The 12,057-nt window shown below is 43.5% G+C and overlaps 1 protein-coding gene across 2 annotated transcripts in view; it reads left to right on the forward strand.

Moving 5' to 3' along the window:
- The window catches only part of AR (androgen receptor), a 186,599-nt gene extending 176,518 nt beyond the window's left edge, over positions 1–10,081 (forward strand). For both annotated transcript variants that reach the window (NM_000044.6, NM_001011645.3), the window contains 3 exons: positions 1,295–1,425; positions 2,289–2,446; positions 3,148–10,081. In NM_000044.6, coding sequence (NP_000035.2) covers positions 1,295–1,425; positions 2,289–2,446; positions 3,148–3,303 — 445 coding nt within the window. In that variant the 3' untranslated portion in view covers positions 3,304–10,081. The remainder of the gene's footprint in view (positions 1–1,294; positions 1,426–2,288; positions 2,447–3,147) is intronic.

The raw sequence follows: 12,057 nt of genomic DNA on the forward strand, positions 1-12,057 counted from the left end.
TGAAAGAGCTTGGAGCAACACTGTTCTGCTCAATTGATTTGTGATACCATCTAAACACTTCCTCTTTCTAGTTGGGCTTCAGCCTGAGTTGAATAATTCTACACCATCTGCCCTCTTCTCTCTTTCTCCAGGACAGCCAAGATCTCTCTGAGATAGGATGCTGAGCTTCCACCCAGACAATACCAGGCCTGCTCATCCTATGGAGTAGGCTAGTGGCTTGGAAACCAAAATGTCAAACCATAGCCTTTAGGCTCCATCTGGGAGGTCTTTGTCCTCACCACTTAAGTGGGTGTCAAATTTCCTTCCCTTTCTGCACACGCTGCACAATCAATTTCTGTCTTACACACACACACACACACACACACACACACGATTTTTGAAGTGCTGAAAACTGGAAGGCCTACTAGCATGAGGATGCTGTGTCTTCTCTTAGAGGTATGCCATGGTCAGCCATGGAACCGAGAGGTTGCTCTTCCTTGAAAAGCTGGCCAAGCATTGGCCACTTCCCCATATAATTTATAGGTGATAATGTGGTGATCTGTTCAGAAGTGACTATAATAAATGCAACTCACATATGTCTACAGTTTCCAAACTGTGGTAAGGAGCAGCCAGCATATGAGGGAATGGGCTCCCCTTCAGCAGGGGACATTTAAACTAGACATTCAAAAACACTCCCTGGCAGATTTAACATTGGAACTCGTTTTGAAAGAACAATGTGGAATCTCCTTCACTGGGAGTTTTTGAATAAGTATGAAATTTCTAGTATTCCAGGCCAGAGGCAAAGGGGTCAACAGGATGACCAAACACTTCGGGTCATTTGCAAATCTTGATGTCCTGATGTTAAGAGCTGACTACTGGGGCTTCTCCTAAAAATCCTTCATGTTGAGCTGCCTGGAAGGCAGGTTCTCATTCTGGCTGTAGCTGAGATGTTAGAACTGTAGTCAGGGAGACCATGTGCCTCCCCCATTGTGTTCATTTGGTTAGGCTTTCCTGTCCCTGACTCAGAAAACAGAAGGGGCACAGAGACCTGGAAATTCCATGTGCTAACCCATATCCTGGCCAGAGAAGATGAGTAGTTATCAGGGTGTCAGGATTTTGGAAAACAGAGAGAGAAAAAAAACAAACAAACAGACAAACAAACAAAAAAACCTTTTCCTGGTCCCTGGAGCACCAGCAGGAGAAACAGCAAGCTCTTCTTGGAAAACCTGGCGAGGGATGGCAATCAGAGACATTCCCTCTGGGCTTATTGTAAACTTCCCCTCATTCCTTTTTCCTCTGTGTATCTCCTTCCCAGGTACCGCATGCACAAGTCCCGGATGTACAGCCAGTGTGTCCGAATGAGGCACCTCTCTCAAGAGTTTGGATGGCTCCAAATCACCCCCCAGGAATTCCTGTGCATGAAAGCACTGCTACTCTTCAGCATTAGTAAGTGCCTAGAAGTGCAGGGAATGCCCCCTGAGGGCACAGAGATTCAGAGAGGACCACTTTTGCCATTAAAACATTATTAGGGAAAAGCCAGCTCCTGGACATTTCCCTTCTTCATTCCCCCTCCCCATCCCCACTCTACTCTCTCTCAGCATCATTTTCCTAACAAGAAACAATTTCATGACTAGAAGCCAATTTATTTGCTAGAAGTCAACCTCCATCAGATTCCCCACCTATCCCCAGTCTGTCTTTGGGACAAGGCCTTTTTGACTGGTTACAGCAGGTCTCTGAATTTTTCCATAGCTTCTGCTATAGAAACAGACATGGGCCACCTTGTATTCTTTGCAGGGCAGTAGAGCAGGAGGCATTTCCTCCTGGAAAGATTTCCTCTTCTGCCAACAGGAGGAGATCTATGTAAGCAACTCAGATAGGATTTGTATGGCAGCCAAGGAACTTTTCTTTAATATCTTTTCTAAGAGCCCTCTCTTAGCCCCTACGGAGGGAGAAGGGCAAAATTTGATATTCAAAGCTATGTGTTTTGGTTATCTAAATCAGGGTTTTACTGTGAATGACATAAAAGCTTAGGTCCTAAAAAATGAGTATCTGAGAAGAGTAGAAAAAGAAAAGGTTCAGGAAATTTGATTTACTTGACTCCTTTCAGATCGGATCCAGCTATCCTTTCCCCTGAGATCTCCCTGACAGACTGAAGGCCCCAAGCACACAGACTTCAACTAACAGGAAGCCAAGTAGATGGTTCCCTGTGGGGGTGGGGGTCAAGTCTGTGGTCAGAAAACTTGGTGCTTTGTCTAATGCTCCTTCGTGGGCATGCTTCCCCTCCCCATTCTGTCTTCATCCCACATCAGTTCCAGTGGATGGGCTGAAAAATCAAAAATTCTTTGATGAACTTCGAATGAACTACATCAAGGAACTCGATCGTATCATTGCATGCAAAAGAAAAAATCCCACATCCTGCTCAAGACGCTTCTACCAGCTCACCAAGCTCCTGGACTCCGTGCAGCCTGTAAGCAAACGATGGAGGGTGCTTTATCAGGGAGAACAGCCTGATAGAGCCAATGATAATATGCTTCTCTAGAGTCTGGCACCACCTGTTGGGAGGTGCTTCCATTCCCCTCTGGCTTTGAGTGTGGTCCAGGAAGAAAATGTGGTGAAGAAAAGAACACGGGTCACAGTGTCCCAGCTGGATATTGTGAAAGGGGTGGAGGAGTTGAGAACAGAGCAGTTGGGACTCAGGGAAGGGACTTGCAGCAGATGAATTCTCTAGGCAGACAAAACAGACCTGGATGTTTTTCCCCTCTTCTTTGAGTCATGTTCATGTGAGTTTGTCTGTCTGTGTGTGTGTGTGTGTGTGTGTGTGTGTGTGTGTGTGTGTCAGAGAGAGAGAGAGAGAGAGAGAGATGGAGTGCGGAGGCTTGGGTGAGAGCACAAGCTGGAGAAGTCTTGAGTCAGAGAGCTTACAATGGTATAAGACATCTCTTGGGAGCCCTCAGTGACTCCATGGAGACCATTTCTTTCTCTCTCTCTCGCTGTCTCTCTCTAACACACACACACACACACACGACCTCATGGGGGAGGACCAAGGAAGTACGGGGAAGGGGGAGGAAACAAAAGGCTGAAAGACCAAAAATCAGAGGTTGGGGAAGAGGCTAGCAGAGGCCACCTCCTTGTCAACCCTGTTTTTCTCCCTCTTATTGTTCCCTACAGATTGCGAGAGAGCTGCATCAGTTCACTTTTGACCTGCTAATCAAGTCACACATGGTGAGCGTGGACTTTCCGGAAATGATGGCAGAGATCATCTCTGTGCAAGTGCCCAAGATCCTTTCTGGGAAAGTCAAGCCCATCTATTTCCACACCCAGTGAAGCATTGGAAACCCTATTTCCCCACCCCAGCTCATGCCCCCTTTCAGATGTCTTCTGCCTGTTATAACTCTGCACTACTCCTCTGCAGTGCCTTGGGGAATTTCCTCTATTGATGTACAGTCTGTCATGAACATGTTCCTGAATTCTATTTGCTGGGCTTTTTTTTTCTCTTTCTCTCCTTTCTTTTTCTTCTTCCCTCCCTATCTAACCCTCCCATGGCACCTTCAGACTTTGCTTCCCATTGTGGCTCCTATCTGTGTTTTGAATGGTGTTGTATGCCTTTAAATCTGTGATGATCCTCATATGGCCCAGTGTCAAGTTGTGCTTGTTTACAGCACTACTCTGTGCCAGCCACACAAACGTTTACTTATCTTATGCCACGGGAAGTTTAGAGAGCTAAGATTATCTGGGGAAATCAAAACAAAAACAAGCAAACAAAAAAAAAAAGCAAAAACAAAACAAAAAATAAGCCAAAAAACCTTGCTAGTGTTTTTTCCTCAAAAATAAATAAATAAATAAATAAATACGTACATACATACACACATACATACAAACATATAGAAATCCCCAAAGAGGCCAATAGTGACGAGAAGGTGAAAATTGCAGGCCCATGGGGAGTTACTGATTTTTTCATCTCCTCCCTCCACGGGAGACTTTATTTTCTGCCAATGGCTATTGCCATTAGAGGGCAGAGTGACCCCAGAGCTGAGTTGGGCAGGGGGGTGGACAGAGAGGAGAGGACAAGGAGGGCAATGGAGCATCAGTACCTGCCCACAGCCTTGGTCCCTGGGGGCTAGACTGCTCAACTGTGGAGCAATTCATTATACTGAAAATGTGCTTGTTGTTGAAAATTTGTCTGCATGTTAATGCCTCACCCCCAAACCCTTTTCTCTCTCACTCTCTGCCTCCAACTTCAGATTGACTTTCAATAGTTTTTCTAAGACCTTTGAACTGAATGTTCTCTTCAGCCAAAACTTGGCGACTTCCACAGAAAAGTCTGACCACTGAGAAGAAGGAGAGCAGAGATTTAACCCTTTGTAAGGCCCCATTTGGATCCAGGTCTGCTTTCTCATGTGTGAGTCAGGGAGGAGCTGGAGCCAGAGGAGAAGAAAATGATAGCTTGGCTGTTCTCCTGCTTAGGACACTGACTGAATAGTTAAACTCTCACTGCCACTACCTTTTCCCCACCTTTAAAAGACCTGAATGAAGTTTTCTGCCAAACTCCGTGAAGCCACAAGCACCTTATGTCCTCCCTTCAGTGTTTTGTGGGCCTGAATTTCATCACACTGCATTTCAGCCATGGTCATCAAGCCTGTTTGCTTCTTTTGGGCATGTTCACAGATTCTCTGTTAAGAGCCCCCACCACCAAGAAGGTTAGCAGGCCAACAGCTCTGACATCTATCTGTAGATGCCAGTAGTCACAAAGATTTCTTACCAACTCTCAGATCGCTGGAGCCCTTAGACAAACTGGAAAGAAGGCATCAAAGGGATCAGGCAAGCTGGGCGTCTTGCCCTTGTCCCCCAGAGATGATACCCTCCCAGCAAGTGGAGAAGTTCTCACTTCCTTCTTTAGAGCAGCTAAAGGGGCTACCCAGATCAGGGTTGAAGAGAAAACTCAATTACCAGGGTGGGAAGAATGAAGGCACTAGAACCAGAAACCCTGCAAATGCTCTTCTTGTCACCCAGCATATCCACCTGCAGAAGTCATGAGAAGAGAGAAGGAACAAAGAGGAGACTCTGACTACTGAATTAAAATCTTCAGCGGCAAAGCCTAAAGCCAGATGGACACCATCTGGTGAGTTTACTCATCATCCTCCTCTGCTGCTGATTCTGGGCTCTGACATTGCCCATACTCACTCAGATTCCCCACCTTTGTTGCTGCCTCTTAGTCAGAGGGAGGCCAAACCATTGAGACTTTCTACAGAACCATGGCTTCTTTCGGAAAGGTCTGGTTGGTGTGGCTCCAATACTTTGCCACCCATGAACTCAGGGTGTGCCCTGGGACACTGGTTTTATATAGTCTTTTGGCACACCTGTGTTCTGTTGACTTCGTTCTTCAAGCCCAAGTGCAAGGGAAAATGTCCACCTACTTTCTCATCTTGGCCTCTGCCTCCTTACTTAGCTCTTAATCTCATCTGTTGAACTCAAGAAATCAAGGGCCAGTCATCAAGCTGCCCATTTTAATTGATTCACTCTGTTTGTTGAGAGGATAGTTTCTGAGTGACATGATATGATCCACAAGGGTTTCCTTCCCTGATTTCTGCATTGATATTAATAGCCAAACGAACTTCAAAACAGCTTTAAATAACAAGGGAGAGGGGAACCTAAGATGAGTAATATGCCAATCCAAGACTGCTGGAGAAAACTAAAGCTGACAGGTTCCCTTTTTGGGGTGGGATAGACATGTTCTGGTTTTCTTTATTATTACACAATCTGGCTCATGTACAGGATCACTTTTAGCTGTTTTAAACAGAAAAAAATATCCACCACTCTTTTCAGTTACACTAGGTTACATTTTAATAGGTCCTTTACATCTGTTTTGGAATGATTTTCATCTTTTGTGATACACAGATTGAATTATATCATTTTCATATCTCTCCTTGTAAATACTAGAAGCTCTCCTTTACATTTCTCTATCAAATTTTTCATCTTTATGGGTTTCCCAATTGTGACTCTTGTCTTCATGAATATATGTTTTTCATTTGCAAAAGCCAAAAATCAGTGAAACAGCAGTGTAATTAAAAGCAACAACTGGATTACTCCAAATTTCCAAATGACAAAACTAGGGAAAAATAGCCTACACAAGCCTTTAGGCCTACTCTTTCTGTGCTTGGGTTTGAGTGAACAAAGGAGATTTTAGCTTGGCTCTGTTCTCCCATGGATGAAAGGAGGAGGATTTTTTTTTTCTTTTGGCCATTGATGTTCTAGCCAATGTAATTGACAGAAGTCTCATTTTGCATGCGCTCTGCTCTACAAACAGAGTTGGTATGGTTGGTATACTGTACTCACCTGTGAGGGACTGGCCACTCAGACCCACTTAGCTGGTGAGCTAGAAGATGAGGATCACTCACTGGAAAAGTCACAAGGACCATCTCCAAACAAGTTGGCAGTGCTCGATGTGGACGAAGAGTGAGGAAGAGAAAAAGAAGGAGCACCAGGGAGAAGGCTCCGTCTGTGCTGGGCAGCAGACAGCTGCCAGGATCACGAACTCTGTAGTCAAAGAAAAGAGTCGTGTGGCAGTTTCAGCTCTCGTTCATTGGGCAGCTCGCCTAGGCCCAGCCTCTGAGCTGACATGGGAGTTGTTGGATTCTTTGTTTCATAGCTTTTTCTATGCCATAGGCAATATTGTTGTTCTTGGAAAGTTTATTATTTTTTTAACTCCCTTACTCTGAGAAAGGGATATTTTGAAGGACTGTCATATATCTTTGAAAAAAGAAAATCTGTAATACATATATTTTTATGTATGTTCACTGGCACTAAAAAATATAGAGAGCTTCATTCTGTCCTTTGGGTAGTTGCTGAGGTAATTGTCCAGGTTGAAAAATAATGTGCTGATGCTAGAGTCCCTCTCTGTCCATACTCTACTTCTAAATACATATAGGCATACATAGCAAGTTTTATTTGACTTGTACTTTAAGAGAAAATATGTCCACCATCCACATGATGCACAAATGAGCTAACATTGAGCTTCAAGTAGCTTCTAAGTGTTTGTTTCATTAGGCACAGCACAGATGTGGCCTTTCCCCCCTTCTCTCCCTTGATATCTGGCAGGGCATAAAGGCCCAGGCCACTTCCTCTGCCCCTTCCCAGCCCTGCACCAAAGCTGCATTTCAGGAGACTCTCTCCAGACAGCCCAGTAACTACCCGAGCATGGCCCCTGCATAGCCCTGGAAAAATAAGAGGCTGACTGTCTACGAATTATCTTGTGCCAGTTGCCCAGGTGAGAGGGCACTGGGCCAAGGGAGTGGTTTTCATGTTTGACCCACTACAAGGGGTCATGGGAATCAGGAATGCCAAAGCACCAGATCAAATCCAAAACTTAAAGTCAAAATAAGCCATTCAGCATGTTCAGTTTCTTGGAAAAGGAAGTTTCTACCCCTGATGCCTTTGTAGGCAGATCTGTTCTCACCATTAATCTTTTTGAAAATCTTTTAAAGCAGTTTTTAAAAAGAGAGATGAAAGCATCACATTATATAACCAAAGATTACATTGTACCTGCTAAGATACCAAAATTCATAAGGGCAGGGGGGGAGCAAGCATTAGTGCCTCTTTGATAAGCTGTCCAAAGACAGACTAAAGGACTCTGCTGGTGACTGACTTATAAGAGCTTTGTGGGTTTTTTTTTCCCTAATAATATACATGTTTAGAAGAATTGAAAATAATTTCGGGAAAATGGGATTATGGGTCCTTCACTAAGTGATTTTATAAGCAGAACTGGCTTTCCTTTTCTCTAGTAGTTGCTGAGCAAATTGTTGAAGCTCCATCATTGCATGGTTGGAAATGGAGCTGTTCTTAGCCACTGTGTTTGCTAGTGCCCATGTTAGCTTATCTGAAGATGTGAAACCCTTGCTGATAAGGGAGCATTTAAAGTACTAGATTTTGCACTAGAGGGACAGCAGGCAGAAATCCTTATTTCTGCCCACTTTGGATGGCACAAAAAGTTATCTGCAGTTGAAGGCAGAAAGTTGAAATACATTGTAAATGAATATTTGTATCCATGTTTCAAAATTGAAATATATATATATATATATATATATATATATATATATATATAGTGTGTGTGTGTGTTCTGATAGCTTTAACTTTCTCTGCATCTTTATATTTGGTTCCAGATCACACCTGATGCCATGTACTTGTGAGAGAGGATGCAGTTTTGTTTTGGAAGCTCTCTCAGAACAAACAAGACACCTGGATTGATCAGTTAACTAAAAGTTTTCTCCCCTATTGGGTTTGACCCACAGGTCCTGTGAAGGAGCAGAGGGATAAAAAGAGTAGAGGACATGATACATTGTACTTTACTAGTTCAAGACAGATGAATGTGGAAAGCATAAAAACTCAATGGAACTGACTGAGATTTACCACAGGGAAGGCCCAAACTTGGGGCCAAAAGCCTACCCAAGTGATTGACCAGTGGCCCCCTAATGGGACCTGAGCTGTTGGAAGAAGAGAACTGTTCCTTGGTCTTCACCATCCTTGTGAGAGAAGGGCAGTTTCCTGCATTGGAACCTGGAGCAAGCGCTCTATCTTTCACACAAATTCCCTCACCTGAGATTGAGGTGCTCTTGTTACTGGGTGTCTGTGTGCTGTAATTCTGGTTTTGGATATGTTCTGTAAAGATTTTGACAAATGAAAATGTGTTTTTCTCTGTTAAAACTTGTCAGAGTACTAGAAGTTGTATCTCTGTAGGTGCAGGTCCATTTCTGCCCACAGGTAGGGTGTTTTTCTTTGATTAAGAGATTGACACTTCTGTTGCCTAGGACCTCCCAACTCAACCATTTCTAGGTGAAGGCAGAAAAATCCACATTAGTTACTCCTCTTCAGACATTTCAGCTGAGATAACAAATCTTTTGGAATTTTTTCACCCATAGAAAGAGTGGTAGATATTTGAATTTAGCAGGTGGAGTTTCATAGTAAAAACAGCTTTTGACTCAGCTTTGATTTATCCTCATTTGATTTGGCCAGAAAGTAGGTAATATGCATTGATTGGCTTCTGATTCCAATTCAGTATAGCAAGGTGCTAGGTTTTTTCCTTTCCCCACCTGTCTCTTAGCCTGGGGAATTAAATGAGAAGCCTTAGAATGGGTGGCCCTTGTGACCTGAAACACTTCCCACATAAGCTACTTAACAAGATTGTCATGGAGCTGCAGATTCCATTGCCCACCAAAGACTAGAACACACACATATCCATACACCAAAGGAAAGACAATTCTGAAATGCTGTTTCTCTGGTGGTTCCCTCTCTGGCTGCTGCCTCACAGTATGGGAACCTGTACTCTGCAGAGGTGACAGGCCAGATTTGCATTATCTCACAACCTTAGCCCTTGGTGCTAACTGTCCTACAGTGAAGTGCCTGGGGGGTTGTCCTATCCCATAAGCCACTTGGATGCTGACAGCAGCCACCATCAGAATGACCCACGCAAAAAAAAGAAAAAAAAAATTAAAAAGTCCCCTCACAACCCAGTGACACCTTTCTGCTTTCCTCTAGACTGGAACATTGATTAGGGAGTGCCTCAGACATGACATTCTTGTGCTGTCCTTGGAATTAATCTGGCAGCAGGAGGGAGCAGACTATGTAAACAGAGATAAAAATTAATTTTCAATATTGAAGGAAAAAAGAAATAAGAAGAGAGAGAGAAAGAAAGCATCACACAAAGATTTTCTTAAAAGAAACAATTTTGCTTGAAATCTCTTTAGATGGGGCTCATTTCTCACGGTGGCACTTGGCCTCCACTGGGCAGCAGGACCAGCTCCAAGCGCTAGTGTTCTGTTCTCTTTTTGTAATCTTGGAATCTTTTGTTGCTCTAAATACAATTAAAAATGGCAGAAACTTGTTTGTTGGACTACATGTGTGACTTTGGGTCTGTCTCTGCCTCTGCTTTCAGAAATGTCATCCATTGTGTAAAATATTGGCTTACTGGTCTGCCAGCTAAAACTTGGCCACATCCCCTGTTATGGCTGCAGGATCGAGTTATTGTTAACAAAGAGACCCAAGAAAAGCTGCTAATGTCCTCTTATCATTGTTGTTAATTTGTTAAAACATAAAGAAATCTAAAATTTCAGATGAATGTCATCAGAGTTCTTTTAATTAGCTCTTTTTATTGGCTGTTTTTATTGAAGTCAAGAGTTGGTATCATGCCCGGTTGCGTTTTATGCTATTTTGATTTTCATATATTTTTAAAAGTCTTTGCACAAGGGTTACAAATTTGCCCTGTGGTGGCCTTAGCATAAGCTGACCTGGGACCACCAAAATAACAAGGAATTTGGGCTAGAAAGCACAGATGGACACTGGTGACCCATCACAACTTCTCTTGAAAAACCCCAAACTTGTCAGCTGGGGAAAAGCCACACAAAGCCCAGCTGCCCACCTTCACATCCTTATCCTTGTAGGAGCATAAAATGGTGTCATCACTGCCCAGTTCTAACCAAGCTTCAGTTAAAGAATGGGTACCTTCACATCTTCACTATTTTTCAGGGGCCTTACCGTCCTTGACCACCCAAGTAAAATCTAAATCAGCCTTCTTTTGGGTTCTTCAGTTCAAGCAAGGCCTCTTCTTGTGGCCTCTCAGTATTAATATTTATGAGGTTGCAGATTGAATTTTTGGGCCTGAGATACAAGCCATCAATGAGGTGTGACAAAGCATGTCAATGAATAATAAGAAAATTATCTATTCTTCCATATCCTCCCCTGTAATAAGGGTTGTCAGAATGCCTTCTTTCTGGGCTGGGTTGAGGATTCAGTGAGAACATATGTGACACAGCTGGTGGGCTATTAAGCTCTGGCTTTGCTCCCTGTTAAAATGCCAGAACCCTTGAGAGGGATCCCACATTGAGCCATGTTTATCACTGACCACCTTAGAATGGATGGATTTCTCAGATTTTTCCTGAGATCAATGCTTGATGGAGAGGAGAGGAGAACAATAGATTCTTGGGATGTGTGTTATGCATGTGTTTAAGTAAGAGACAGAGAGTATGTTTATTTGCAGGTTGTGTGTGTAAAGTCAGAGCCTGCCTCCAGAGGATCTTCTCTAACCACCATTGCTTAGGTCCTGTTCGTTTGCATCTACAGCGAATGACCTTACAGCCATCTGACTTGGCTTCACTCACCACTCAGCTCCTGCCTAAACAGACGAGGTGGTTAGCATCCACCATAAGTTTTCCAAGGAGTAGCAAAGCACAAAGGACACCTATTGGGTTGAAAAGAGCCTAGAGGCATGAGTCCTGTGTGTGACTTGTTCATAGTCATGCAGCTAGTGTATAGCTAGGATTCTCCCCTGCTGATTTACTATGTGACACTAGGCAGCAATCTGCCCTTGCTGGACCTCGGTTTTCTAATCTGTAAAATGTGTGGAGTAAAACTACATGAGATGGGAAGTCCCTTCTAGTGCAGATGCCATGGTTATTGAAAACTGCAGCAACATCTTTCTTAATCGTAAGGGGAAAGAAAAAGACCATTTACTACTCCTAGAACAGTTTTGGAGCTAGAATATTCACATTTGCACTCAATAATTATTTACAAAACAACTAGTGTGGAGAGGGTCAAAACAACAGCTGAGTCCTGTGTAATAGATATTGTCAACCCCTTGATGGATGAGGAAGGGGCTCAAAGGGAAATAGTTTCCTATTGAGATTATCTCATAAATGGCAGAGATAAGTAGGAGTTAAGCCCCAGTCCATGCACTGTCTGTGCCTTCAGTGAGTTTACATTCTATTAAATGCCTTTGCCAGACCACTCTGGAACTTCAACCTATAACACCCAACCCCAGTCCTCCCACATCACTCTCTCCAAAGAGATTGGGCTAACCTCTAATTTAGAATTCCTGCCGGTAGAACTAGAAAGGATCTTAGACCTCATCTAGCCCTAACTTCTTATTCTTCACATGAGGGAGCTGTGCAAAAAATTTGAATGTTATTGTGAACTAGGGCCTGTGTCAAGGGACCAGCCCTACAACACCCAGCTCGTGGTCCCTTCATGTGCCTGCAGGCAGCATACCAAAGTAATAGGGCACCTGAGACTTTCTACCATCCCTTTGCATAT

Source organism: Homo sapiens, chromosome X, assembly GCF_000001405.40.
Source record: "Homo sapiens chromosome X, GRCh38.p14 Primary Assembly".
NCBI classification, from domain to species: domain Eukaryota; kingdom Metazoa; phylum Chordata; class Mammalia; order Primates; family Hominidae; genus Homo; species Homo sapiens.